This window comes from Homo sapiens, chromosome 21, assembly GCF_000001405.40.
Source record: "Homo sapiens chromosome 21, GRCh38.p14 Primary Assembly".
Classification (NCBI taxonomy): Eukaryota; Metazoa; Chordata; class Mammalia; order Primates; family Hominidae; genus Homo; species Homo sapiens.
In genome coordinates, this window is record NC_000021.9 from 45,425,340 (window position 1) to 45,453,107 (window position 27,768).

The 27,768-nt window shown below is 57.6% G+C and overlaps 1 protein-coding gene and 1 long non-coding RNA gene across 2 annotated transcripts in view, besides 12 other annotated features; both read left to right on the forward strand.

Moving 5' to 3' along the window:
- The window catches only part of COL18A1 (collagen type XVIII alpha 1 chain), a 108,556-nt gene that overhangs the window by 20,175 nt on the left and 60,613 nt on the right, over nucleotides 1–27,768 (forward strand). The window lies entirely within an intron of this gene.
- Nucleotides 2,022–2,694: an enhancer, noted in NCBI's record as "H3K27ac-H3K4me1 hESC enhancer chr21:46847276-46847948 (GRCh37/hg19 assembly coordinates)". NCBI's record gives its function as "activates a minimal SCP1, AML or CMV promoter by ChIP-STARR-seq in naive H9 embryonic stem cells {active_cell/tissue: H9 hESC(naive)}" and the evidence as "EXISTENCE:reporter gene assay evidence [ECO:0000049][PMID:30033119]".
- Nucleotides 5,642–5,826: a silencer, noted in NCBI's record as "fragment chr21:46850895-46851079 (GRCh37/hg19 assembly coordinates)". NCBI's record gives its function as "represses an EF-1alpha promoter that drives an FKBP-Casp9 reporter gene in an ReSE screen in HepG2 liver carcinoma cells and phorbol 12-myristate 13-acetate-treated (for megakaryocytic differentiation) K562 erythroleukemia cells {active_cell/tissue: HepG2 | K562(+PMA)}" and the evidence as "EXISTENCE:reporter gene assay evidence [ECO:0000049][PMID:32094911]".
- Nucleotides 5,642–6,693: a biological region, named in NCBI's record as "H3K27ac-H3K4me1 hESC enhancer GRCh37_chr21:46850948-46851946".
- Nucleotides 5,695–6,693: an enhancer, noted in NCBI's record as "H3K27ac-H3K4me1 hESC enhancer chr21:46850948-46851946 (GRCh37/hg19 assembly coordinates)". NCBI's record gives its function as "activates a minimal SCP1, AML or CMV promoter by ChIP-STARR-seq in primed H9 embryonic stem cells {active_cell/tissue: H9 hESC(primed)}" and the evidence as "EXISTENCE:reporter gene assay evidence [ECO:0000049][PMID:30033119]".
- Nucleotides 6,694–7,690: an enhancer, noted in NCBI's record as "H3K27ac-H3K4me1 hESC enhancer chr21:46851947-46852943 (GRCh37/hg19 assembly coordinates)". NCBI's record gives its function as "activates a minimal SCP1, AML or CMV promoter by ChIP-STARR-seq in naive H9 embryonic stem cells {active_cell/tissue: H9 hESC(naive)}" and the evidence as "EXISTENCE:reporter gene assay evidence [ECO:0000049][PMID:30033119]".
- Nucleotides 8,890–9,739: an enhancer, noted in NCBI's record as "H3K4me1 hESC enhancer chr21:46854143-46854992 (GRCh37/hg19 assembly coordinates)". NCBI's record gives its function as "activates a minimal SCP1, AML or CMV promoter by ChIP-STARR-seq in primed H9 embryonic stem cells {active_cell/tissue: H9 hESC(primed)}" and the evidence as "EXISTENCE:reporter gene assay evidence [ECO:0000049][PMID:30033119]".
- LOC124905042 (uncharacterized) lies at nucleotides 13,020–25,258 on the forward strand. Its single transcript, XR_007067909.1, has 2 exons — nucleotides 13,020–16,046; nucleotides 24,996–25,258. It is a non-coding gene; the product is annotated as an uncharacterized LOC124905042 (long non-coding RNA).
- Nucleotides 13,524–14,253: an enhancer, noted in NCBI's record as "H3K27ac-H3K4me1 hESC enhancer chr21:46858777-46859506 (GRCh37/hg19 assembly coordinates)". NCBI's record gives its function as "activates a minimal SCP1, AML or CMV promoter by ChIP-STARR-seq in naive H9 embryonic stem cells {active_cell/tissue: H9 hESC(naive)}" and the evidence as "EXISTENCE:reporter gene assay evidence [ECO:0000049][PMID:30033119]".
- Nucleotides 14,254–14,983: an enhancer, noted in NCBI's record as "H3K27ac-H3K4me1 hESC enhancer chr21:46859507-46860236 (GRCh37/hg19 assembly coordinates)". NCBI's record gives its function as "activates a minimal SCP1, AML or CMV promoter by ChIP-STARR-seq in primed H9 embryonic stem cells {active_cell/tissue: H9 hESC(primed)}" and the evidence as "EXISTENCE:reporter gene assay evidence [ECO:0000049][PMID:30033119]".
- Nucleotides 14,984–15,713: an enhancer, noted in NCBI's record as "H3K4me1 hESC enhancer chr21:46860237-46860966 (GRCh37/hg19 assembly coordinates)". NCBI's record gives its function as "activates a minimal SCP1, AML or CMV promoter by ChIP-STARR-seq in primed H9 embryonic stem cells {active_cell/tissue: H9 hESC(primed)}" and the evidence as "EXISTENCE:reporter gene assay evidence [ECO:0000049][PMID:30033119]".
- Nucleotides 16,894–17,403: an enhancer, noted in NCBI's record as "H3K27ac-H3K4me1 hESC enhancer chr21:46862147-46862656 (GRCh37/hg19 assembly coordinates)". NCBI's record gives its function as "activates a minimal SCP1, AML or CMV promoter by ChIP-STARR-seq in primed H9 embryonic stem cells {active_cell/tissue: H9 hESC(primed)}" and the evidence as "EXISTENCE:reporter gene assay evidence [ECO:0000049][PMID:30033119]".
- Nucleotides 25,600–26,101: an enhancer, noted in NCBI's record as "H3K4me1 hESC enhancer chr21:46870853-46871354 (GRCh37/hg19 assembly coordinates)". NCBI's record gives its function as "activates a minimal SCP1, AML or CMV promoter by ChIP-STARR-seq in primed H9 embryonic stem cells {active_cell/tissue: H9 hESC(primed)}" and the evidence as "EXISTENCE:reporter gene assay evidence [ECO:0000049][PMID:30033119]".
- Nucleotides 26,102–26,601: an enhancer, noted in NCBI's record as "H3K4me1 hESC enhancer chr21:46871355-46871854 (GRCh37/hg19 assembly coordinates)". NCBI's record gives its function as "activates a minimal SCP1, AML or CMV promoter by ChIP-STARR-seq in primed H9 embryonic stem cells {active_cell/tissue: H9 hESC(primed)}" and the evidence as "EXISTENCE:reporter gene assay evidence [ECO:0000049][PMID:30033119]".

A 27,768-nucleotide genomic window follows, 5' to 3' on the forward strand; every position in this document is an offset into this window, starting at 1 on the left:
TGTCAGAGCCCCAGACTGGGCTCCCCTGGAGGACCCTGGTGCTGACACAGAGTCAGCGGGTCCCTGGGGTCCCTGCAACTGTCCCCCAAGAGGTGTGCATGGAGGTGGACCCCCTGCCTCACCCTCGGGTGGCCCAAGGCCTCTGAAAACCGTCACGGCAGGGGTCACAACCCCACTCACCCACACCCTCCTGCATGAACACTGCACAGCTACCTCCCGTGGGCTGCCCTGTGAGGTGTGGAGCTGGGCTGCAGACTTGCACAAGGTGGGGTCCTGTGTCTGGAGTCAGAGGGTCCCTCTCGTCGTCCAGCCTCCCCGGCTCCTCAGGGGGAGGTTCGGGGCCTTTGGTCTCTGGACTTGGGCAGCAGAAAGGAAACATCCCTGGGGGCCTGTGGTGACCCCCATCCTCCCCAGGGTGGTCTGGCAGGGGACACTGTTTTCCAAAGCAAAGCCAGAGCGCCAAGGGCTCTCGGGATTCACGAGATCCACATTTATCCCAAGTTAGAACAGCACATCTGTGCGTGCAAACTTCATTCTGACTTCGGCCGGCTGTCCTTCTTGCCCAAAGCACCGTGAGGCCTCATCCCTGCATCCCTGTTGCTTCTTTCATGTGGGATGAGAACCCAGGAAGGGGCTGAGTGTGACTCCTCTGGTTTTTAGAGAGCACTGCCCCCGCCCCGCCCCCTCCTGCTTCCCCACCTTTTCACAGTTGCCTGGCTGGGGCGTAAGTGAATTGACAGCATTTAGTTTGAGTGACTTTCGAGTTACTTTTTTTCTTTTTTTGAGACAGAGTCTCGCTCTGTCGCCCAGGGTGGACTGCAGTGGTGTAATCTTGGCTCACTGCAACCTCTACCTCCCGGGTTCAAGCGATTCTCACATCTCAGCCTCTGGAGTAGCTGGAATTACAGGCGCCCGCCACCACACCTGGCTAATTTTTGTGTTTTTAGTAGAGATGGGGTTTCACCATGTTGGCCAGGCTGGTCTCGAACTCCTGACCTCAGGTGATCCGCCTGCCTTGGCCTCCCAAAGTGCTGGGATTACAGGTGTGAGCCACCGAGCCTGGCCTGGAGTTATTTTGGGAGAGGGCAGCCCCTGGTTCAGCGTGGCGAGGCTGCGCTTGCTCTCCCGGGCGGGCGTCCACACCCTCCTCGCCGAGATGGAGAAGCCCAAACCCCTGCAGCGCTCCCCCATCACGTCCGGCCCTGGAAGCCCCCGGAAACCCTGCCACGCCCTGAGTGGGAGAGCGCAGGTCCCTTTCCGGCCCTGGAAGCCCCCAGAAACCCTTGGGTGCCAGGCCTGGCCGGGACAGCAGCGACACTGCATGCTCAGCCCTTGCGTGAGACCACGGGAGTGTCCGCCCTCTGCACGTGCTGCTGATTGCCCACTTCGTCCAGCAGGTTTGGGAGCTTGTGGCTGCATCCTCCTGCAGACACTTGCCCATTCTGGGGCCTCCTCTCTGTCTTTTCTCCTCTGTTGAGGGGTCTGGGAGGGAGGCCTTGGAGGGTACCCATGCTGCTGGGACTGATGCTCCCCGCGGTGGAAGGAGCTGCCTCTTGAACAGCAGGGGGCTGAGCAGAGGGGAGGGGATGCGGGGGTGCCGTGCACACAGGTGCTCTCAGGACGCAGGGGCTTCTCAGCCCTGCTGTCCCAGGGCTGCACTCCAGCAGGGCAGACTCCTGAGGTGCAGACACCCCAGCTTCACGCTCACACTTCTGGAAGGCGATGTCTGTGCGTTTGCTTTCTGCTGCAGTTTAAAAAGCCGGGCTCTCTCCGGAGCGTGTGTAGGGCCTGGTCACTGGAATATCTGGACTCAGTGTTAATGGCAGCCACGCTGGGGGCTGGGCCCAGCTTTCTGTTCTCCGTGTGGGTGCCATATCCACCTCCATCGCAGCCCTTTCTCTCTCGACCTTTTAAATCACAGTGTCACCTCCCCCTGCTGTCCTGCCAGTGGCCCCTGGAGGCTTCTCCCCACCCCTTTCTTCTGGGGCAATTCTTAAGGCTGGCATTGAATCAGGAGGCCAGATGTGGCCCCTAGTAACTCACCAGCAGTCCCTGAGGCTTCTGGCTCCCCTGGCCCACCAGCCTCCCATGTCTGCCTCAGGCCTCTTGACCCGCCTGGCACTGACCAGACTGTGTGCCCGGGTGCCGTGCCCATGGGCTCCGCCTCCCCCAGGCAGGCCCCCTCTTGCTCCGCGGCCACCCCTGCTCTTGACCTCACACCTCTGCGGTGTGTCTGGACACACCAGCACCACGGCGGGCGGGGAGCGGAATTCTCCAGGTGGGGTGGGCAGGCCGGCGGGTGTTGAGGTCTCTGTGCATGCTTGTGCGTACCCTGGACTTTGCCGTGAGGGGTGGCCAGTGCTCTGGGTGCCTTTGCCAGACAACTGGTCTGCCGGGCCGAGCATTCATGCTGGTCGCCATCACGTGACTCCCATGCGCCCTGGCCCTGGGGTTGGGTCTGCAGGACTGAGAACCAGCGGAAGGGGGGCGAGGCCTCGGGAATGCGCCGGCAACTGGCGATGAGCTCAGGCCTGACTAATGAGCCCAGGTGACTCATACACCCGGGGCCTGGATGAGTCTGACTGGGTCAGGACTTCCCTGCTTGTTCTGTCCTGGGAGATGTTGTCCCTGGCCCTGCAGAGCCGGGAGGACACGAGGCCTCCTGGGTCACAGCCAACGCAGCCTACTCCTGCCCACTGCTCGCGCCGGCCAAGGCCCGTCGGCACCACCTCCTCCATGAAGCCTTCCTGACTGCCCCCATCCCTCTGTGGGCAGCTCGAGTGTGCATCTTGAGTGCTGTGCAGGTTGGGGTCCGGCGCTCCTGCAGGCAGGCGGCGTCTGGGCCTGGGGGCTCTCAGAGTTTGAGGAGCGTGTGGTGAGGGTGGCCTCGGGCCTCAAAGACGCAGCGCTGTGGGAACCGGGAGACTGGCTGAGCCCGCTCTGAGGAAGGTGGGGCCAGGGGCACCCTCAGCTGACCCGGCGTGCAGGGGTGACCAGCCAGGCGTGGCCAAGGATGGGGTCTCTGGGATCAGGAGACTTCAGTAGCAGCCAGGACCGAGGCCACCAGTTTCCACCCTGGCATTTTCCATCTTTTGAAGGACTGGAAACGATTGGATTCTTTAACTTTTTTAAGTTGAGGTGAAATTCACAACGCATAAAATTAACCATCTTAAAGCGAACAATTCGGTGACATTTAGTACAGCCAGAAGGCTGTGCAGCCATCACCACTGCCCAACTCTAGAACATTCACACGCCGGAGAGAGGGAGCCCTGGGCCATCACGCAGCCACCGCCCGGCCCCAAGAACCTGCGAGTCCACTTTCCACCTCTGGATCGGCGGTTCTGGACGTTCATGCAGGTGGTTCCCGCAGTGCGAGGCCTTTTGTTTCGGGCTCCTCTCACAAGCCTCACGTTTCCAGGTACGTCGTGGTGTTGTGCAGACCCACAATTCATCCCTTTTCATGGGTGTGTAATAGTCCACCATAGATTCTCTACGTTTTAAAGCATGTTTTATGTGCCTGAAATGTCTCTGCACTCGAGACTATAGCTTGCTTTCTTTCTTTTCTTTTTTTTTTTTTAATTTGAGACGGAGTCTTGCTCTGTTTTCAGGCTGGAGTGCAGTGGTGCGATCTCGGCTCACTATAACCTCTGCCTCCCAGGTTCAACTGATTCTTTTGCCTCAGCCTCCCGAGTAGCTGGGACTATAGGCGCGCCACCCCACCCGGCCAATTTTTTTGTATTTTTAGTAGAGATGGGGTTTCATCATGTTGGCCAGGATGGTCTCGATCTTCCGACCTTGTGATCTGCCCGCCTCGGCCTCCCAAATTGTTGGGATTACAGGCGTGAGCCACCGCGCCCAGCCGAGACTACAGCTTTCTTTAACTGCATCCCTGGAGGGATCTGAGAGTCTCTTTCCCTGTCTCCTTTCCTTTGGAAAACATTTCAGCCAGGGCTCCCCAAGATGAAAGGCCAGAGTCCCAGGCATGGGCGTTGCAGGTGCACAGTTGCCACGGGGAGCTGTGGGTGATGGTCGCTGTCAGCGATGGCTGCTGCAGGTCCCTGTGAGGAAGGGGCAGTGCCCACAGCAGGAGGAGAGGGAGTCAGCGGACGTTGATTGGCAGTGCCCGCCCATTCCATCATTCAGTCACCCACTGTGCACCCAGCACCCAGGCTCGGCTGCATAGAACATGGCCCAGGAAGGCTCCACTTCCTGTCTCCTCTTCTCCCCTCTCCAGTCTCATGATGGGGCTGGAGGCATCTTCTAGTTTTGAGTTCTGAGCTAATGAACATGCTCATGAGCAGGCGGCAGGATCCCAGGACGGTGGAGCTGGGAGCCTGACTGCGGGTGACGGACAGGCTCTGGCAGCCCCTGTCAGCATCCTCTCCAGGGCATGTGAAAGCCAGTGTGTCCTCAGCTGCCAGTGCCCCCTCCCCACCTCCTCTGGGCCCATGTGCACGGGACCTGGGCTCCCCCAACCAAGCCTGCCCGCCTTGGTTCAGCAGAACGGCTCCTGTCTCTACAGCGGTGCCAGGCCAGGAGTGCTGTGTCTGTGAAGCGGGGTCATGGTTTTGGGGCCCTCATCTCCCTCGCGCCCTCTCATTGGGGACCCCCCGTCTCCCTAGCGCCCTCTCGTCCTCTCCTGCATGTGCTGTGTCTGTGAAGCGGGGTCATGGTTTTGGGGCCCCCCGTCTCCCTAGCGTTCTCTCGCCCTCTCCAGCATGTGAAGTGGGGTCATGGTTTGGGGGCCCCCATCTCCCTAGCGCCCTCTCGTTGGGGACCCCCCGTCTCCCTAGCGCCCTCTCGCCCTCGCCTGCATGTGCTGTGTCCATGAAGTGGGGTCATGGTTTGGGGGCCCCCTATCTTTCTAGCACCCTCTCGCCCTCTCCTGTATGTGAAGTGGGGTCATGGTTTGGGGGCCGCCATCTTTCTAGCGCCCTCTCGCCTTCTCCTGAGCGTGTGGAACTCTGTGGTGGTCAGAGCTAAGGTTCTGAATAGGTCGAAGCACCTCCCCGGTGCCTCTCACCCTGAATGCTCTGGGAGGACACAGCCTTTTCATAGGCTACGACTGACATGGCAGGAGGGGCCTGCCTGCCACCCGGGTCCTCTGCTGCCTGCTGCTTGCTGGGGAGGGGGCTCGAGACTGGGATCCTGGGCTTCTGCTCCAGCTGTGCCCAAGGGAGCTGCTGAGGAGGGACCGGGTGGGGCATCCACTCTGGGCAGGTTCAGGGTCATTCTTGGTGACCCCGGGTCCGGTTACAAAGGCTGATGGAGCGCGTGGGTGGCTGCCTAAGTCTCTGGAAGCCCAAGAATGTGGAGATGGCGCGTCTCGGCCCGGGGTCTCGTGGCTGGTCTGGGAGAACTTGCCTTTATTTCTAGGCAGGAGGCTGCACTGCAAGGGAGCGTCAGTGGCCCGGCTGGCTTTCCCCGGCCCTCAGCCCGCACTCGTCCACCAAAGCAAGCTCCTTTGTGGGGCTGCCCTGGGAAGCCGGGATCACGAGGCTCTGCCGGCCGTGGTCACCCCATGAGGCAGGGTCAGCTCGGGAGCAAGGCGGATCAGATGGAACAGAACACGTAGACCACCTCGCCCGCCCTTAGTCAGCTGGGCCATTGAAAATCAAGTCCGTAGAAAGACCTAGAAATAAGTCCCGGGGTGCCCTTGCCTGTTGACGGGCGGGCCGAGCAGGACTGTTCTCAGGCAGGCACTGGTCTCTTGGCTTCCAGGTGGTTTGTTTGCTGGTTTGAGGCTGGGGGTGACGCTCCTGTGCGGGAGGAGGTCGCATTCCATTCATAGCGGCTTATCTGGGCTGTCAGGCAGGCCTGGGAGGGAGCCTGCCTCTGTGCTCTCCAAGGGTGGGCGACGGACAGACAGGGTGTCCCACCCCTTCTGGGCCAAGGACAGAGGGTCAGTGTTTGCAGAGACCTGGGGAGGCCCAGGTGACCTCCACCGAGCACCTGCTGTGTGCAGGGCCAGTGCTGGCTGCAGAGACAGCGGAGCGTGTGTGGACCCGGCGGCCCAGGGGAGGGGGGCAGGCAGGACCCGGCGGCCCAGGGGAGGGGGGCAGGCAGGACCCGGCGGCCCAGGGGAGGTGGGCAGGCAGGACCCGGCGGCCCAGGGGAGGGGGGCAGGCAGGACCCGGCGGCCCAGGGGAGGGGGCAGGCAGGACCCGGCGGCCCAGGGGAGGGGGGCAGGCAGGACTCGGCGGCCCAGGGGAGGGGGGCAGGCAGGACCAGGCGGCCCTGGGGGTCAGGGGTGGAGGCCAGGCCTAGACGGCCCACAGGAGGGTGGACTCATTCTGACCGATTCCTGGAAGCCCCCGGAAAGTGGTGATGTTCTGGAGGGCCCAGCAGACCCCAAGGCCCCCAAGACAATCCCAGCTGGCTCTCTGCGGCTCTCGGTGTCTGCCATTTGAGACAATTTGGGCACAGGCAGGGCAGGCCGTCGCGGACGGTCTAAGCCGCGCGCATTGGTGGGGGCAGCAGAGCCCCTGCTCTCAGCTCCTCGGGGTACAGCGGGGGTACCAGGCGGGTGAGTGGGTGGGTGGTCACTGCTCCTGCCAAGGGCAGCCCTGGTTTGGTTTGCACTTGCTGCCCTGGTGACGGCTGCTCTCATTCCTGCCCCATTGCTAACAAGGGTGTCATAAGCTACTTTCCCGGCCCACATCCTATTAAGCCCATGGAGACCCTCCCACAGCTGAGCCTGCTGTGGGCTGCAGGCCCTGGGCGGTGCCCACCTCGGTCCCCACTGGCCTCCTTCCAGCACTTTAGAGCAGACACAGGTTGGAGATAAGGAAAGTTCCAGAGCACAGACTGGAACAAGCCCCAGGCCTCTCCCTGCCCCAGCAGGGCCTCCCTGGATTTGGGGGACAGGTGCCCTCATGGGGGGTCCTGAAGGTCAGAGCTGGGGCTGGGGCTGGGCTGGCGGAGGTGGCCTTGGCGGAGGCCACATTCCAGGGTCTCAGTGAGAGTCTGTGGCAGGCAGCCTTGCAGATGCCGCTGAGGGACCCCCCACTTCATGTTGTGGGTGATGTGGTCCATTGATTGCCTCCAGGTTTAAATCAGGTGGATATTTACCTAGCGGCCTCCTCTCCCTCTGCACAGGGCCTGGAGTGGGATGGACTGGGGTGCTCAGCTGGAGGCTCTGCAGACACAGCCCCCTGGGCTATGCAGGCCCTGCTGGGAGCCACATTGCCATTTTTCATCACCCACTTTTTGGGTGAGAACCCCCTCGAGTCCTAACATCTGCCGCATCTCAGAGCCTGTGGCTCCAGTCAGAGCATCTGGACCATACTGCTGGGGTCAGAGCGCGGCAGGACAATGGCCAGTTTCTGTGTGATTGCTGGCGGGAATCTTGAGCCATTCCGTGGGTCCGTGGGCTGGGATCTGGAAGCTTCCTTGAAATGTCTCTGGGCACGTGGCTCTGTGGGTCAGGGTGGGACATGGCCCCGTAGCAGGCTGTCCTACAGCAAAAGCCTGCTCTGTGAGCCAGCCCTGTGCAGGCCTCCCTCGGTACAGCCGGGAGGGGCCTCACCCTCCACCCACAGAAATCAAGGCTGCAGAAGACAGATGCCTGTGCCAACCCCTCCGGCAGAGTTATGCCAAATGTCCCACTAAATTCACCCCTCTAGGGAGAGGTGCCTCCTGCATCTACTTTTCCTAGAATAAGTATGAGAAACCCCAAATAGGTTCTAGAAAAAACAGCAGTGTACACAGATGTTAATCCTCTTCGAAACTTGACTGAGTCATTTAGCCAAAGAAAACAGCAACAATGGCTTCATTTCGAGAGGGTCACGGACACCCTTTCATGTTTGATTCCTTCTGACCTTGTGAGTTTATAGAAGGACAAGGAGAGAGGGACGCGCTGGGTTTGTTCAGATGTGGACAGAAAGTTTGGATGATAGGACAGAACATTTAGTTCAATCTTTCCACTTACGGCTCTTAAAAGCCCTTTATTTTTATAGGTAACATGCTTTAAACAAACTTTAAAATTTGAGGTTGCTAGTACCCATTGTGTGTGGATTGGACCAGCTCCATGAGAGTGGAGCCCGGGAGCCTCTCTGGTCGTCTTTGTGTGCGTCTGTGCCTGTGCCTGGTAGTAGTTCTGTCTGGAAGGTGAGCAGGGCCACAGAGCACCAAGAAAATACCAGGGACTTTGCAGGTCTCGGGTGGATTCAGGTTGATCCAACAGATGCCGGCCCAGGGCCTGCAAGGAGGCTCCTTTCGCGTGGCTGTCGTGGCCCCTGTGAGCTGGGCTTGTCCTATGAGAAGAGCTCCTGCAAGAACACCTTTTGAAGTCACCCCTGGGGGAGATGAGCTGGATGGCATTTGGAGCCCCCAGCAGCTCACATTCCTGAGCTCTTGGTCCCATGTGGGATTCGATAATTTTCTTTACACTGACAGGCAGCATCTCTTTGGCCAGCCGTGTGACTGTTGGGTCATGTGTCTTCTCTGTGCCTCAGTTTTTCTCCCCTGCAAATGGGTTCACTGAAAGCACTGGCCAGGGGAGGGGCTGTGGCATGGCATGACAGGCTGAGGGGCACTGAGCAGGTGCCAGGAGCCAGGTGGTGTCAGGTGAGCCCCCCAGGAACCCCAGTTTTTGTGCACGGTGGGAAAGAGACCATCAGGGGCGGAGGGGAATGAACACCCACCCTTTGGGGGCTCAGGTGCCAAACAGATGTGTGTGCAGGTGCATGAGCCAGGTGTGTGAGCAGGTGCATGGGCCAGGTGTGTGAGCAGGTGCATGGGCCAGGTGTGTGAGCAGGTGCATGGGCCAGGTGTGTGAGCAGACACTTCCTGTGCAAGCCTGTGCTCCTGTGGCTCATGGGTGCATGATCCAGAAACCCAGAGGCAGTGGCTTCACCGGGGGGTGGTGATATTCAAGCTCTTGCAGGAGGGGGTTGTGGCAGGGCAGGACAGAAGCATCTGACCAGAGGGTGCAGGGCCACAGCATTTCTGCCCTCGGGGACAGGCGGCCCGTGCTGGGACGGGCGCAGGAGCTCCTGAAACCTCTGTTCTCAGTTCAGAAACCAGGTACCTTTCCCATCTGACCCCCCAGGCAGCCATTAACAGGTCCAGGTGAGAGAGTCTGTGCATGAGACCTACTTTCCTTGCTCTCTCCGGGGGGGTTTGCAGCAGTTCTGAGCATCAGGCCAGAGGCTGGGACTCCCTGCCTGAGTCGGGGTGAGGGCTTCCCGTGGCTCTGTGAGCTTCAGAGGCTTGGCATGTACAAGCAGGGCTGTTACAACAGCCTTTAAAAAATCATGGAGAAGAACCCAGTGCATCTTCTCCTCAGAGGGTGGCAGAGGCTGAATGAATTTGCATCTGGACGTTCCACTTCCACCTCCTTCCTAACCAAAGACTGTATATGCAGGTGGTTCGTGGATGTATCTGGGCTGACTGGCAGTGGGGAGATGGGGGCTCCCCCACGTCTTGGCGGGGGTCCCGGTGGGTTGCAGCCCCCAGAGCCGGGCTTCCCGGAAAGGGGCATCGCTTCTCTCTTTTGGGCTGTGCTGGGGTCTCTCTGGTGAGGGGTGACCCAGGGCCTTTGAACAGCCGGTCCTAGACCAGGCCCTGGTTCCTGTGATGCTGACAGGCTGTGGCTTGAGAGCCTGGGTCGGGAAAGCCCAGTCAGAGGGGAAGCCGGGGGCTGGTTCTGACCCTGCATGGTTTCCTGAGGGACGTGCTCAGTGGGATTTGTCCCTGGAGCACCAAGGGCTGAAGGAAAGCCACTGTCCTGCTTTCTCGCAGCCCTGGTCCCCATTCTTCTGTGGGTGCAGGTGGGGATGGTGGGGTGAACCCGCCCTCCTGGGGACAGATATAGGGATGCCGGGATGCCGCACTGCAGGTGTGAGTCCTGGGAAGTGGGTAGGGGGTCGATGGGAGGAAGAGAGGAAGGTGGGGTGGGGGCGGGAGGAGAGAAGAGGAAGAAGGGGGTGGGGGGAGGGAGGAAGGAAGAGGAGGAAGGTGGGGTGGGGGTGGGCGGAGGGAGGAGGAGGAAGTGGGGGCGTCCCCATCAGAGACCTCCTGCAGACCTCCAGCTGTTTGGTCCATGGGTGGGTTGGTTAGGTCTGGGTTCAGAAGCCCCTTCAGTGTAGGTGCTCAGCTGGGCCATGGAGTCCTGGCCTTCCCTCTGAGCACAGACCCACCAGGAATGGGCAGCCCGTTCTTAGTGACCCTGGGGGCTGGGGAGCACCCACCCTCTGAGCCCCAGCTCGGCCTCCATGTGTCAGGTGGGAGGCACGGGCAGGGCCAGGCTGTGGGAGTCCGGGAGGGAGTCAGAGGTTGGCTGGGGCAGAGGTGGGGTCAGGGAGCAGGAAGTGAGCGTTTGCCCACTGGGGTAGACGCTGGGTGGATGGGGAGCTGGGAGTCCTATAGGGTGAAGGGTCTGCCGTGGGCTGAGGCATGTTGGGGCATCCCGAGTACCTATGGGCCCCTTGGACGTCCCCCCGGCGCTCCCTGGCACAGGTCTGCTCGGAGGGTGTCGGCCTCCTCTGCATTCAGGATCGTGGGTCTGTCAATTGGGACACCTATGAACAAATGCTCTTCCCATCAGTAACTCCGTGTGCCCCTCTCTTGAGCCCCTGTGAGATGCACCCTGGGGTCCCAGCCTCACCCACTATCCTTCACAGCAGAGCTGTGGGTCCATGGCCCAGGCAGGGTGGCCAATTCCTGCCCACTGCAGTCGGCAAGGGGGACACTGGGGCCTCAGGCTCATCTTCTGGGTGCGTTTATAAAGCCAGCACAATGTGCAGCGTTTGCAGACAGTATCCTCTGTGAGCAAGAGCATGTTTAAAGGGGGCTCATTTGAAACCCTACCTACAGGGCTGCCATCCCTCTGGTGAATGCCCACGTGGGTGACAGTGATTCTAGCCCTTGATTTCCTTGAGCTGATGGTGGGCCCCTGGGCTGAGGAGACCCTCAGCCAGGAGGTCCCAGGCCCAGGGATGAGTGAGCTGTACAGCAGTGTCACAGCAAAGCAGCCACCCTCACCCGGGGCCCATCCAGCGTGTGCAGTGGGCAGAAGCCTGCGTGAGCTGGGCAGGGACGAGGGACTGTGCCGCCGCCCCATTGTGAATCTGTGTTCATTTTCCTGACTTCCTTCATTTCTTGTGATTTTAAAGCTGGGGAGTGGAGATTCTACTTCCTGCTCTATCTGGAAGGAGAGGGCTTTCGGTTCGGCAAAAAAGTCGTCTTTGTGGGCGCCTGTGCCTCAGGCCACGTGGAGGCCACATGGAACTCCCATTGGGGAGGGGACCATGGGACTGGATGGCGGGAAAGTGCCCCACCCCTGCAGCCCTGGAACTGTGGCTGGGGTGGGGCTGAGGCTGGGGGAGGGGGTCTGGTGGGGAGGGAGCTGAGGCTGCTCAGGGGACTGCTGGTGGGGGGCCCTAGAAGGAGGGAGCCGTGGCTGTGGGGTCCCTGATGGGAGGGAGATGTGGCTTGGCGGGGAAGCTGTGGAGGGAGGGAGCTGTGGCTACTGGGGAGCTGTGGCTGGGGGAGTGCCGTGCCTGGGGGTCTGTGACTGGGGAGTTGCTGGCTGGGGGGCAGCCATGGCTGGGGGAACCCTGGCTAGGGAGGGGCTGGCTAGGGGCGAGCCGGGCTGCGCGGGGCCCTGGCTGGGGAGCAGCTGGCTGTGGCAGGAGCTGTGGCTGGGGCTTCTGCTGTCTGCATCCGTTCCTGTACATAGTGAAGGTGGGTTCTATTGCCAAGGTTCTGCAGGTGAGGGTGTGTGCTGTTCACACCACAGCATCACACAGGCACTCTCCTGCACACACACTCACACACAGACACACAGGCACTCTCCACACACACTCACACTCAGACACAGGCACTCTCCTGCACACACACTCACACAGACACACAGGCACTCTCCTGCACACACACACACAGACACACAGGCACTCTCCTGTACACACACACACTCACACACTCAGACACACAGGCACTCTCCTGCACACACACACACTCACACAGGCACTCTCCTGCACACACACACACTCAGACACACAGGCACTCTCCTGCGCACACACACACACTCAGACACACAGGCACTCTCCTGCACACACACACTCACACTCAGACACACAGGCACTCTCCTGCACACACACACTCACTCACAGACAGACACACAGGCACTCTCCTGCACACACTCACACTCACACACAGGCACTCTCCTGCACACACACACTCAGACACACAGGCACTCTCCTGCACACACACACACACAGACACAGGCACTCTCCTGTACACACACACACTCACACACTCAGACACACAGGCACTCTCCTGCACACACACTCACACAGGCACTCTCCTGCACACACACACACTCAGACACACAGGCACTCTCCTGCACACACACACACACACTCAGACACACAGGCACTCTCCTGCACACACACACTCACACACTCAGACACAGGCACTCTCCTGCACACACACACACTCACTCACACACAGACACACAGGCACTCTCCTGCACACACTCACACTCAGACAAGCACTCTCCTGCACACACTCACACTCACACTCAGACACACAGGCACTCTCCTGCACACACACACTCACTCAGACACAGGCACTCTCCTGCACACACACACACACACTCAGACACACAGGCACTCTCCTGCACACACACACTCACACACTCAGACACACAGGCACTCTCCTGCACACACACACTCACTCACACACAGACACACAGGCACTCTCCTGCACACACTCACACTCACACTCAGACAAGCACTCTCCTGCACACACTCACACTCACACTCAGACACACAGGCACTCTCCTGCACACACACACTCACTCAGACACAGGCACTCTCCTGCATACACACACTCACACTCAGACACACAGGCACTCTCCTGCACACACACACTCACACACTCAGACACACAGGCACTCTCCTGCACACACACACACTCACACTCAGACACACAGGCACTCTCCTGCACACACACACACTCAGACACACAGGCACTCTCCTGCACACACACACACTCACACACTCAGACACACAGGCACTCTCCTGCACACACACACACTCACACACTCAGACCCTCACACTCCAGGGCTGGGCAGGGGACCCCGGACCTGGCCTCTGGAGCTCATCCCTGGGTGCCTGGGCACGGAGTGCCGGTCACACTGTGCACCCATCCTTGTTTTCTCGATGTTGGGTTTACTTTTCCTGCCGGCTGCACGGCCTGCCCTTCTCAGGGCTTTGGGCTACTCTGCAGGGCTGGTGTTCAGGGCAGGAAAGGGAAAGGGGCAGTGGAGAGGGAGTGTGTGCTGTAGAGGCTAAGACCCCATTTGCACTGAGCCCTTCCATGGCTGTTCAACTCTGACGGGAGTCCACTGAGGCTCAGGACGCCTCTGCAGGGTGCCAGGGCCACGCAAGCTCCACAGCACGTGGACAAAGGCGCATCTAATCCTTGCAGGCAGAGTGGCTTATTAGACACGTTAGCAGGTCTGTCTGTGCAGCCGGAAGGAAGAAAGTGAAGTTAGATGCCCACATGTGACTTGGCATCCAGAGGCACATTCCAGATGGCGACCCGGGGCTCCCTGGTGTGGTCTGGGGGCCGGTGGGGGCCGAGGGGCTGCTGTGGGTCTGTGTGGAGATGGATACCGAAAGCCACAGGACGTGCTTAGGGACTTGCATGGCAATTTGGCAGGGCCGTTCCCAGCGCAAAGAAAGGCTGTCGGAGGTGCAGGCCACGCTCATCACCCGCATCTGACCCCACCAGGCATCCCACAAATGTGACCCTTATGTGTCTGTTAAAAACTACACTTAACGTTTTTTAATTCGAGAAAACCTATCTGTTGCTGTTATGTACAGTGCTGTAATCAGCAAACGTGTTCCTTGGTCATTTCCGCAACAGAACACAGTGGGAGGGGCCTGCTCTTCCGCAGCACCCCAGGCAGGCCTGGACCGCCCGAGTGGCCGTGGTCCAGGGGCGCGGAGGGCGCAGCGCGTTCCGTTTCGGCTCCTCTGGTGCGTGCCTCGTGTGCGTGTGAGCAGAGGCCGTGTGGATGCCGGGCGCCCGCCGGTCACGGGCTGGTGGGCAGAGAGGTCATGACCTTTTACTTTCTAGGCCTTTACGTATCGCAACGTGTGCGTTACGTTCATCATAAAAACGTCCGACGAAACCAAGAGCAAAGTGAACTTATTGGTGAAAGTTGCCATTGGGACTTCGGTGCCTGCTGAGAAATGCCTGGGCCTCTGGCTCCCCCTGGCGGCCGGTCCCTGGCTTGACGGAAGCGCGTCGCGCGGGCTCCAGACGTCCTGGGCCAAGTCCTGTGCGCGGGGCCTCCGGGTCTGCGAGCTGCGGCCGTGTTCAGAGCGTGTTTTGCCCGGAGCTGCTGCCAGCCTGGGCGGCTTTGGGCGCGTGCAGCAAGCAGGGTTTGGATTTGGAAGTGCAGCTCGTCCTGGCGCCAAGCACAGAGCCTGGCCTCTAAGATGCTCGGGAAATGCCGCTCTCTGCGCCCCTGAGTGCTCAGTGCGAGCCTGTGAAGTCCATTACAGTCTCCGGCTGTGAATGTAGCAAGGAGTGGGAACTAGGCCTGGGAGATGGGAGTGTTTGTCTGATGACTTCCTGAGCGAAAGCAAACTGGGAAATCTCGGGCTGCGCGCTGGTGCCCCGACTCCGCACCTCCCACCCCTTCTGTGGGGCCAGCACCCAGAAAGCGCCAGCGGAGGCTGGCAGGCCGTGGGCCGCATGGGCGGAGGGGCCGGTCCTCCGATGATGGGGCAAACGTCTCCGGCCTAGCCCCCGACGCTCGGGGATGTAAGGGCAAGGGCTGCGGGGTCGGAACGTCGGCTGTGGCTGTGGCTGTGTGACTGCTCCGCACCAGCTCAGCTTCCTCACCTGTGCACACAGGCTCCCGCTGGAATTTGCTGCGTTCTCCAAGCTCTGCAAGATTCAGAAGCAGAGGCCTCCCTGGGCTCTCACAGCCCCTTAGCTTCTTGCCCACCCACGGAGAGGGTCCAGAGCTGCCCCTTGCTGTCTGTGAGGAAAGCGGGTGCTTCAGGCCTGCCAGGGGTCCACTGGGAGTTGCTGGGTGGGCTCCTCAGGCCCTGCCCAGGGCTGACCCCTGGCTCCAGGTCCTGGGCCTCCGTGCCATGTTCCCCGCAAGCAGTCGGGGCCTGCTGGGGTTTGAGCCACGTTCCCCGGAAGCAGTCGGGGCCTGCTGGGGTTTGAGCCACGTTCCCCGGAAGCAGTCGGGGCCTGCTGGGGTTTGAGCCACGTTCCCCGGAAGCAGTCGGGGCCTGCTGGGGTTTGAGCCACGTTCCCCGGAAGCAGCTGGGGCCTGCTGGGGTTTGAGCCACGTTCCCCGGAAGCAGTCGGGGCCTGCTGGGGTTTGAACCACGTTCCCCGGAAGCAGTCAGGGCCTGCGGGGGTTTATGTCACACCCTGGCTGCACGTGGGGATCGTGTCTAAGCTTTTTGGAAATGTCGATGCCGGACTCCGCCCCAGACCTGGAGCTAGGAACTGGCCCCTGGCCATGGGCCCAGGCAGGGTGAGGTTTCCCAGCACCCTGGGTGATCTGAACTTGGGAGCAGGGCTGGAACCTGGGGGCAAGATCAGCACTTCTAGGACGTTATCGTGCGTGGGAACCACGGGACGCTCACTCATAGGAGGCTCAGCAGTTCTCTCGCTGTGCCGAGGCTGATGGAGACCTCACTGCTTGCCCCCGGGATGCAAACCCCGGGGACACCCGCCTTTCCGCTCCAAGCTCTGCCCACCGCCTCACATGGCCCTGGGAATTACAACAGACTTTCCCATCTCCCCACTATGGGCGGAATCTGCTGCAGCTGCCCAGACCTGGGGTCTTGCAGGTTCTGGACACCACAGCTCCCCTACACACAGAGGCTGCTCCTGCGTGGCCCTGGTCCCTCACCTCTACTTCTGGCACACGCTCCTCCACCTGCTGCCCTTCAGGGTTCATCGAGGTCTTATTTTGGTTCTGTACTGGGAGAGGGGGAAGCAATGGGGCAAGACGCTGCCCCTACTGTCCCCAGAAGATGAGGGACAGCACAGATGCCCAGGTAGAGTTTTCCTGTGTTAAATCATAAAACCCCCACATGCCCATCCCAGGTGCCCCACCTGCCCCAGCAGCTGCCTCCAGGCCTCGGGACGCTTGAACCCACCTCGAGGGCTGCCAGCTCCTGGCCTGGAGGTGCCCCCACCGGGTCCTCCAGTCCTGCTGCCCGGTGGCTCTGGCCATGGTTCCCGTCCCGGGCTGTTCATGTTCCCCCTGCTCCTCTCCGTGATCTGCCATCTCTGCTTCACCAGCCGGCGCCTTCTACAGAACACGGCCGTGAGCTTCCCATGTTCTGCCGCTGGCTCTTCACGCCAACAGGTCTCCTCTGAGCAGGGCCAGCTTATGGCATGGCGCCGGGTCAGCTCTCACCTGTCCCCCTCAGACGCCCACCTCTGATATGCAACTATTTCCAGCAGAAAATGTCCCATGTCCTTAAAGGATGGAGCACGCTGCTGGGAACACGGCTCTCTCCATAAAGGAGGGACTCCCCATGCCACTCCCAAGGCCACGGGAGGCCGCCCTCAGCACAGGGTCCATGGGGTCTCGGGGTCTCCCTGCCAAAGCACAGGCCTGGTGACCCCCTGGGACCCTCACTCCAGGGAGAGGACTGTGCATCTTGTGTGCTTCTCACAGTCACTGTGTGGGGTTCAGCCCAGGGGAGGTCACCTCGCCCTCATCCACGCAGTCCTGCGGGGAGGCCCATTTGCCCTGACTGCACAGTCCTGCAGCTCGGCTGTGCCCTTGAGTGGGTGGCGCTGCCCTGTTGCCCACCGTAGCTGCTGTGGGGCCACAGCCTTGAGCCTGGACACTGGCCATGACTGGATACCACCGGTGCACAGGGTGCACGTGAGGAAACCCTGCCCGTTCTGTGCCCGTGCCTTGCTTTTTCTCCTTTAAATCCCACCTGTGAGTTTTATTTTTGTAACTGCAGAGCATGATGAAAACCGTGAAGCCACAGAGGCACACGTCGTGTCTGTGGGGAGGGCCCCTCACTCTCTGGCTGCACATCACCCATGTGTCTCACTCACCATGGGTGTCCCTGCCCCTGAGCCCACCCTCACCTCTGTCAGCTGGGCAGGCGCTGCCCTGTCAGCCTCTGCCTCCACTTCCTCCACTCCTGGACATCGTAGTCTCTGTCGCCGGGTAGTAGCAGGGCCGGACCCCTTCGGATGAGCACGCCCAGGCCCAAGAGTGGCAGTCCTGGTGTGGGCGGTGGTGCTGGTGTGGGCGGCGGTCCTGGTGTGGGCAGCGGGGCTGGTGTGGGCAGCGGTGCTGGTGTGGGCGGCGGTCCTGGTGTGGGCGGTGGTGGTGCTGGTGTGGGCGGAGGTCCTGGTGTGGGCGGCGGTCCTGGTGTGGGCAGCGGGGCTGGTGTGGGCAGCGGTGCTGGTGTGGGCGGCGGTCCTGGTGTGGGCGGTGGTGGTGCTGGTGTGGGCGGAGGTCCTGGTGTGGGCGGCGGTCCTGGTGTGGGCGGAGGTCCTGGTGTGGGCGGTGGTGGTGCTGGTGTGGGCAGCGGTGCTGATGTGGGTGGTGGTGCTGGTGTGGGCGGTGGTGGTGCTGGTGTGGGCAGCGGTGCTGATGTGGGTGGTGGTGCTGGTGTGGGTGGCGGTGCTGGTGTGGGCGGCGGTGCTGATGTGGGTGGTGGTGGTGCTGATGTGGGCGGCGGTGCTGGTGTGGGCGGTGGTGGTGCTGGTGTGGGTGGTGGTGGTGCTGATGTGGGCGGCGGTGCTGGTGTGGGCGGCGGTGCTGGTGTGGGCGGCGGTGCTGGTGTGGGCGGCGGTGCTGGTGTGGGTGGATTCCTGGAGGACAGCTGGGTCTTGCATCCAGCACAGGTCCTGGTGCCTGGGAGGTGCTTACCCCATGGCCCCAACCGGCACAAGTGTGGCTGTCACAGCTGGGGTCTGGGTAGGTCTGGCAGCCCCATGGGAACCTGGCTGTGTGAGCCTGCCCTGGGGCCTTCCATGAGAAAACCCAGTTAAGGAGCAACCTGGTAAACCCTTGAAAACCAAGTGGGCCTTCACCAGCTTGAAAGGCCGCCCGTGCCTTTCCTCCTTGGCCCTCACAGCCCAGCTCGGCATCGCAGCAGAGTCCCGGTGGTGGAGATGCTTTGCCACTGGCCACCCAGAGCTAGGAGCCTCGGCCAAGGGCTCCCTCCTTGCACTGTGGTCTCTCGGGACCTAGGAGGTCCCGGGGTGTGGACTGTGCTGAACTGTTCTCCGACAGGCGGCCCTTTTTCTCCCACGTGGGCGAAAAGTGAAGCCTCTGGGTGGTCCTGTACCTGTCTGTCACATCCCGGGCTGCAGCCGGGTCCCCAGGGAGGCCTCCGTGAAAACACAAATCAAGTGCCAATTTCCTGGTGAAGAGTCTTTATGAGAGCAATGCGGCCCCGTGCCCCTTTACGCGGCTCTGCTGGTGGAGAGGAATAGCTGAGCTGCAGCACTAAGGAGAGATGCCTGCTGCATGATCCCCTAGATGCGTCCGAGGGACACTGGACATCTGGTGGCCCTCCAGACTCCTAGGAAGGGGACCGTCCTCCCAGTGGCAGCCAGGACTGCCTGTCCTCTTTTGGGTGGCCAGGATGTCACAGGGCGAGTAGGTGTCTGGCCCTACCACTGGGGGGCCATGTTGCCACGCAAGAATTCAGTGTCCCTCTGTGGGGAACGTGCTTCCCGGCTGCCACGCTGTCGCTCTCTCTTGTCTTCTGTTCGGCCCCTTCCCCGTTGCACATCCTGGCCTGGCGTGGTCGTCCCGTGGCGTCCTCTACCCTTTCCCATGTGACACATTCGCTCCATGGTACCTCCTGCCTCCCGAAATCACCTCTAAGTTCACTTTGTGCCAGGTTTTGTTCTCCAGCGCATCTTCAGTGCTGCGAGCAGGCTGGGCTTGCAGCAGGAGCACGGGTGTGCGTGTGGAGTGAATGAAGGGCCGTGTGCCCGAGTAGGTGGCGTGCAGGGGTGTAGTGAGGTGCGTGCAGGGGTGTAGTGAGGTGTGGGATGTGCAGAGTGAATGAAGGACGTTGTGCTCGTGTGGGTGATGTGCGGGGTTGTGGTGAGGCGTAGGGCTGGGGTCAGCTGGTCGTCCGGACTTTTGGTTTTCTGGCTGTAAAATGCACATGCCAGGATAGTTGTGAGGTGCACGCTCACTCGTGCATGGAGGGTGGTTCCACAGTGCTGTGGACAGAGGAGCCCTCGATAAATGCCAGCTGCGAGCACCGGGGGCCAGCACGAGAGCAGCTCTGAGAGCCTGGGTCGTGCAGGGCGAGAGAGGCTCCGGGGAGTGGAGGCTGTGAGCCAGGGAGGAAACACTACTCCACGTGTTAGGAGGAAGCCACGTGCTCCTCGAACATGCTGGTACTAGGTTTGAAAACCAACATTAGCAGCAAAGATGACTCCGTGTCCATACCCTAGTTTTTAAAAGTTGATATAGCCCCTCTAAAAATGAGTTTGAAAGCACAGGAATTTATAAGAGAAAAACTTTCATCAAATACATGAAAAAAATCAATCTCACTCAAAATGGAATTAATAAGAAATCAAGCAGCATTAAGGATTGCGTGGTTTGGAAAATGTGATGTGGGTCTCCCTTGATTGTTTTGAATGGCTTTATTGAGATGTAATTCACATTCCGTGCAATTCACTCGAAGTGTACAATCCAGTGGTTTTCAGTATATTCAAAAATCTATGCCACCATCATCCCCATCGACCGTGGAACATTTCATCACTCCAGAGAGAAGCCTTTCCGCCGCCCTCCCTCCCTCCAGTCCTGGCCACCGGTCATCTCCTTTCTGTCCCTGGGTTCCGTCTTCTGAGCTTCCATACGAATTAAACCATGGAACGTGTGGTCGTTTCTGTCTGGCTTCTTCCCCTCGGCCTGTGGTTTCCGGGTTCGTCCGTGTTGCACCCTGTCCCAGGGCTTCATTCCTTGCTGTCACTGAATAATGTCCCACCAGGTGGAGGCACCATGCTGTGCTTATGGATTCAGCATTTGGTGGACTTCTGAGCGGTGTCCACCTTTTAGCTGTGATGAACGGTGCTGTTGTGAACACTTGTGTACAAGTTTCAGTGTGGACGTGTGTCTTCGTTTCTCTCGGGTATATACCTAAGGTGGAATCACTGGGACTATGGTAACTGTGTTTACTCATTTGAGCAGCCGCCAGCCTGCTTTCCCAAGTGTCTGCACCATCTCACGTCCCTTCCTGCAGCCTTGGGAGTTCTGATTTCGCCACATCTTTGCCATCACTTGTTTTTCTCTGACTTTTTGTTTCCAGCCCATGTTGGGTGTAAAGCAGTGTCTTGTGGTTTTCATTTGCATTTTCATGATGACTGATAATGTTGAACATCTTTTTTTGTCTTTCTTGGCGATCTGTATTTCTTCTTTGGAGAAATGTCTATTCCGATTCTTGCCCACTTTTAGTTGGATTATTGTCTTTTTGTTGTTGATTTATGAGTTCTTTACATCATCTAGATAGAAGTGCTTCCTCACATATATGATTCGCAAATATCTTCTCCCATTCTGTGAGATGTCATTTCACTTTCTTGATGGTGTCCTTTGAGGCACAAAACTTTTAAGTTTTTACGAAGTCCAATTTATTTTTCTTTTGTCACTTGGGCTTTTGCTGTCATATGTAAGAATCTTTTGCCAAATCCAAGGTTATGAAAAAGAAAACCTTCAAAAGTTTTTTTATTTTAGCTCTTTTATTTAAGAGCTAAAATAAAAATTTTAATAGCTGCATGTGGTGTGAAGTAGGGATCCAGCTTCGCCCTTTTGCGTGTATCTGTTCGTTGGCCCAGCACCGTTTGTTGAAGGCTGCTCTTTCCTCACTGAACAGTCTCGACATTCTTGTCAAACATGAGTTGCCCGTAGGTTATGAGTTTATTCCAGAACCCTCAGTTCCACTGCACCGATGCGTGTGTCTGTCCTTGCGCCACTCCCACACTGTCCTGTTACCATCGCATTGTAAGTCTTAAAACTGGGAATGTAAGTCCTTTGACTTTTTTCTAATCCAATACTATGAACAAAATAGATGGCAGATGAAATTGAAAATTTCCTAGAAAGGTGCAAACTACTCAAACTGATTCAACAAGAAATAGACAATGTGAATAGATATATAACAAGTGAAGAGGTTGAATTAGTAATCCAAAAACACCCATAAAGAAAAGCCAAGGACCAGAGAGCTTCCCAGCTAAATTCTACCAAGCATTTAAAGAATTAAAACCAATTCTCACAAACTCTTTCAAAAGACTAGGAGAGTGGGAAATGCTTCTCAATTCATTTTATGAGACCAATATTACTCTGATACCATAATCAGACAAAGACATTGCCAAAAAAAGAAAATTGCAGACTAGTTTATCTTACGAATTATGGACACAGAAATCCTTGGTAGACTACTAGTAAATAAAATCCAGCAACATATAAAAAAAATTCACCATGGCTAAGTGGGATTTATCCCAGGAATTCAAGGTTGGTTTAACACTTGAAAATCAATGTAATACATCATATCAATAGAATAAAATATTAAAAACACCCAATCATCTCAATAGATGCAGAGAAAGTATTGGACAAAATTCAACACCATTCATGAAAAACACTTAACAAGCTGGTAAAGAGCATCTGTGACAGAGCCCACAGCTGACACCGTGCTTGTGGTGGAGGAGCGAATGCTTTCCTCCTAAGATCAGGAGCAAGACAAGGACGTTCCCTATTGCGCCTTCTGTTTAACATTGTACTGGAGGTTCTAGCCACGAAAGTTAGGCAAGAAGAAATAAAAGACATCCAGATTGGAAAGGAACAAGTAAAACTGTATTTTTAGAGGCCAGATCTTATATATATATATATCATATATCATATATATCATATATCATATGTATATTTAAAAGTAAAAGTTCTAACCTCTAAAAAGTTTTTTATTGTTCCTCTAAAATTACAGTTTTTTCTAAGTAATCCACAAAAAAACTATTAGAACCAATAAATGAGCTCAACAAGGTTGCAGGGTATAAAATCAGTATAGAAAAATCTATTGTATTTATTTTGCAATGAACAATCCAAAAATGAAATTAAGAAAGAAAAATCTGTTTACAACAGCATCAACAAGAACTTATACTCTGAAAACTACAAAGCAACATTGAAAGTAATTAAGGAAGATCTAAATAAATGGAAAGTTATCCCATGTTTATGGATTGGAAGACAGAATACTCCCTAAATCAACTAGAGTCCACACAACTCCTGCCAGAATCCCCACTGGCTATAGAAATTGTCAAAGTGACCCCAATACTTAAATTGAATTTCAAGGAACCCAGAATGGCCAAAGCAATCCTGGAGAAGAACAAAATCGGGGGACCTCTTGGCTCTCGAACTTCTTAGAGTCTTTGAAAATATCTGCTTTGTTTTGGGTAGAGCATGGATGGTTCCCTTAGAGCCTATAGAGCACATTGAGGTCTTTTGGTTCGCCCTCAGTGAACTTTATCACATCAAGCAGGAGATGTCGGTGAGCCTCGCTGCCCTGCTGTGCTCCACCCATTGGCCCCCCTTGCAGCAGCATTCAGGAGAAGACAGAGGCAGCGTCTTCTGCCAGCCTCCTCGGACTGGAAGGAGTAACAAGGCTTTGAAGGCATGCAGGAATAACACCCACACAGAGCCCCAGGGGACATGGATCGAGGTCTGAAAAGCATTTCTTCCCACCCTCTGCTGAGTCACCTGGACTGCCAGAGGTAGAGCTGGCATAGGGAGTTTGCCAGAAGACATCAGGAAGAAACCTCTATTTTCTCTACAAACATCCTTTGAGAACATTTCAAACCTGCATTGACGTTGATACGATGATCAGAAAACGCTCATACACACCTTCCATTCGACTCACAAGCAAACACTTGCCACATTTTTCCCAGGCACTCCCTTTCTCTCCATCTGTGTCCATATCCACACACACGCATATCCACATGCACAGGTATCCATGCGTGTGCACACAAGAATATCTACATGCACCTCCACATGCGTACATATCCGCACACATCCGTGATGCATATCCATGTGTGCACATGTACATACCCATGCACACATTCACACATGCTCATCTGTATGCACACATAATCCACATGCAGTCCACACACACAGATATCCATGCATGCATGTATCCATATCCACACATCCGTGTACACGCGCACACGTGTGCTTCTGCATACCCACATGCAAGTACAGACGCTCGCTGAGGTGAGCCGCAGCATCTCCACACATTGCCCTGTAGATGCACTTCTGTGTGCGTGTCCCAAGAACAAGGACATTCTCCCACAGAGCCACAGTGTCATTGTCACGCCTGAGAAGTTTACAATCATTCTGTCCGTCCTCCTGTGAACAGGTCGTCTTCAGATGCGCTCCATAATGTCCTTTGCCCCACTGGCCTGCGTATCTTTTGGGCAGTCCCAGAGCCGTCAGGGACCACGTGTTGCATTAGTGTCCTGCTCTGTAGTCTGTTGACTCTGGAGCAGCCCTGCCCGCCCCCGCTGCCCCACCGCCTTCTTCCTAACGTGGCAGTCCAGCTGGGTTTCTATGGGGGTGTCTGACCCGCAGCCTGGACTCACCCACCTGCCTGCTCGTGTTTAGGTGCAGGCTTTGTGGAGAGCCATGGCAGGGGACTGTGTGTCCTCCCCGTGGCCTCCTGTCAGGGGCAGAGGTGGCAGCTGTCCCTGGGAAGATGTCTAAAGTGTCTTTTCCCTGCGGCGCTTTGATCCTCTTGCTGCTCCTGCCTCAGGCCCCGCTGCCCGGCTCATGACCCTTCACCAGTGATCCATCTCCTGTGTCTCTGGCGGCCTTCCCAAGGGTGGGCCCTGGGGCTGCGGTGGAGGTTGCACCAAGCCCGAGGGGAGGGCCTGGCTCACATGGGCTTCCAGCTGCCGCCGGCCAGGTGCGGGGAGAAGAGGCAGGCTGCCCGCTGAGCGCCAGGCTGTGCTTGGCATTAATTTAGGAGCCAAGAAGGCTCCCACCACTCGTGATCACCCAGTGGAGGATTGGGGTTGAAGACCTCAGGCTCCCCACCTCATAGTCCCCAGGCTCTGCCGAGCGGTCAGAGGGACACCAGAGCCTGGGGAGGGACACGGCTGAGTCCAGGAATGTACATCCAGGGAAGAGCTAAGAGAAGCCTCGTCGTGGAATCGGGGGACAGAAGCCTCCACCCTGCCCCCACCGTGGGGGAGAGAATGGGCTTATGGGGCACCCTGAGCACTGAGCAGCGGGGGAAAGAGGCTGTAAGCTGGGGGTGGGTGTTAGACAGGGTGTGGCCACACTCCCTCTGCTACCGTAGGTCTTCAGGTCCATGTGTTTGGTGACAGGGGAGTGCCCTCCAGGGACCTGGACCCAGGCCTGGCCACCCGGCCCTCTCACTGTGCGGCCACCTCCAGCCACTGAATCTGCAGGTGGCGGCAGCTGGTCATGCCGCTGGCCGGGTTGTGCCCGGTGGCCAGGTCTGGTGAGAGGTCCCGGCCAAGCAGCAGAGATGTCAGGGGGCACTCTGGAAGTGCCATGATAAAGCTGCCTTTATCATCGTGGTTTGAAAAAGTAGCCACAAAATGCAGAGCCCAGGAAGCACGTTCAGAGACTTCAGACAATCATAAACTAGTTGCGCCACAGAAAGATGAAAAGTCATGTTTTCATTTCAAAAGGGCTGGAGACGTGTCTGCGGCATCCAAACCTTGACTGGCTGTGCCTGCCTGGGGGCGTGCCCATGGGCAGTGGGTACTGGGACCTCAGGGCCCAGGTTTCGCTCCCTGGAATCTCCAGGAGCCTGCCTGGGCCTGTCCTTGGACAGTCTCTGGTCCCTGGGGAAGGAGGGGAGGGAGGCCACACCTGAGGGGTCTCTGCAGGACATTCTGGGCTCGGGCGAGCATCTGGGGGCAAGGACAAGCTCAGGGAATGAAGAGGGTGGCTCAGGTGGGGTCTGCCCTGCTCCCTCATCCCTGTCATCCTCCCCCAGCCTTCAGGGTCGAGGTGTGGGAGACCCGCGGAGAGGCAGCCCAGAGCCACCCGCCACGGGCTGAGGCCTAGGGTGGCCAGAAGCAGGAGGGACGCCTCTGACGATTGAACAGCCCGGAGCCTCAAAGCTACGGTTGGGGCCTTCAGCCCGGAAATGAGCCCCCCTCTTTGCCCCCTGATGAACCAGTTTCCCCTGTTCACGTGTGGATGTTTGTACCTTTTTAAAAAAAGAAAATAAAAGACCACACTATTTAGGAATTTAAACCAGACAGGCCAACAAGACAGGACAAACCCTGGCTCGGGGCAGGGCGGAGACAGTGGGAGGGTGGAACCTTCCCGAAGACCAGATGGGGTGCAGGGAGTGGGGAGGCTCAGTTCTTGGCACCTGTGTTCATGGTGGGTGGTCTCCCTCGTCCTCTGAAACTGCAGCCAGTGCATGTGACCTCCCCACCGCATCTCAGGCCTCCCTCCCGGTGTGCCCACCCTGCACCCCACAGCCAGCTGCTTCAACGTTTGGAGCCCGTGGCTGGCGTGGCAGTGGTGAGCCCTCGATGGCTGTGCGGACACCAGAGGCTGAGGGAGGACACACACTCCATGGTGGGACAGCACCCCCGGGTCCACCAAGGCCAGGTGGACGCTTAGGCTCCAGGGCCCTCGTGGCTGCTCCGGCGGTGCCATCACCTCTGGAGACAGGGCCCGACTCTGCAGGACGGCACCAGTGGGGGACAGCAGGTCCTCTGGGGGGTGTGAGGTTCTGAGCTGTTAGCCTCAGGCTCCTCAGGAGCGGGCAGGTCATGATAACAAGAGTGGCTGCGTGCGGGTAGCCCATGGCTACAGCTTCCAACGGGCATTTCTAGTGCCCTGGCCAGATGGCCGGCCAGCGGGGGCCATGGTACCACAGCACTGTAGCCTAGCAACAGAGGAGACCCATTTTCTCATCAGGGATAGAGCAGGGAGTCAACCCAAGGTCAAACTCCACACGCACTGGGACAGGCTGTGATGATGTGCAACCCAGCAGCTGGGTCAGCTTGGCTTCCAGGAAGGGAGCCCCTTGGCCCTCCTGTTGTCATAACTGAGAGCCAGAGAAAGGGGCCCCACAGGCTCTGGGGCCCTGGGGACACAGCTGGGTGGCTGTGTTGTGGGGTGCCGCCTTTCCGGGATCCCACGGGGTTGGCGAGCCATGCTCTTCCCCAGCTCCTCGCTGGCCTTCACAGGGATGATGCACTTGTCTGCGTGGGGTTTGCTGAGGGAGTTTGTGGTTAACGTTGCCTTTGTTGAGTCGAATGAGGACGCCACGTTCTGCACTCAGCAGCAGGAGCGCTCAGAGGGGAAGGCGGTGGGATTTGAAGGCTGCTTCCTCTATGAAGTCAGACTGGGAAGGTCGATCTCAGGCCTCAAGGCAATAGGGTGGGGGCACTTCAGACTGGGGCACTCTCCTGTGTCACCCAGGTCCTGCGCACCCCCAGGGAGGGGTCTCACCTGTCCTGTCAACTCTGCTCCATCGGGATCCATGGGCCCTCTTCCTCCTTGGCTGGGGTCATCTCCAGTGAGCTCCATCATGGGCCTCCCAGCCGCCCCATCAGAGCCAAGTGGTTCCTGCCTTCCTGCAGACCCCAAGGTCCCTCATGACGACACGTGTGTCCTCTGTCTCTGGCAGGCCTGAGGCCGCACTCACCCCAGGAGGCACCGAGGAGCCGCAGGGAAACTGCCAACTGCTGCTCCTTGTGCCTCAGCTTCTCTGCTCCCTCCACCAAGGGGAAGAGGCCATGCCGAAACCCTGGTCCGCACTGCTCATGGTGCCATCTGGGCACCCAGATCCTGGAACGAGCCACAGTCGGGCCCTTTACACAGAGCTGGGCAGGGGCTGGGAAGGAGGCCTGGATCCCTGGCCATGCTGCTAGCAGGACTTGGGCAACACCAGGGTGCTTTCTGAGAGTGCAAGTACATGGTGAGTGTGCTTGCCTGTGTGCGTGTGTGTGTGAGCATGCATGGCAGAGCTGAGCATGCATATGCACTCTGTGACATGTGTAAGCATGTATGTGAGCTTGTGTATGCATGTATTCATGTGTGACGTGTGTGTATATATGTGAGCTTGTGTATGCATGTGAGTACTCACGTGTGACATGTGAGCATATATGTACGTGTGTGTTTCTGTATGCATGTGTGTATTCACGTGACGTGTGAGCATGCATGTACATATGTGATTGTGTATGCATGTGAGCATTCATGTGACACATGTAAGCATGTATGTACATGTGGGGGCTTGTGTATGCATGTGAGCATTTGTATCTGACATGTAAGCATGTGTGTGTGAGCTTGTGTATGCATGTATTCATGTGTGACATGTGTGAGCATGTATGTGAGTTTGTGTATGCATGAATATTCACATGTGACGTGTGAGCATATATGTACGTGTGATTGTGTATGCATGTGAGTATTCACTGACGTGTGAGCATGCATGTACATATGTGATTGTGTATGCATGTGAGCATGTATGACATGTGTAAACATGTATGTATGTGTGGGGCTTGTGTATGCATGTGAGTATTCACATGTGACATGTGAGCATGTATGTACATGTGTGTGAGTATTCACATGTGACATGTGAGCATGTATGTACATGTGTGACCTTGTGTATGCATGAGTATTCACATGTGACATGTGAGCCTATATGTATGTGTGTGATTGCGAGTATTCATGTGTGACATGTAAGCATGTATGTACATGTGTGAGCTTGTGTATGCATGTGAGCATTCATGTATGACATGTAAGCA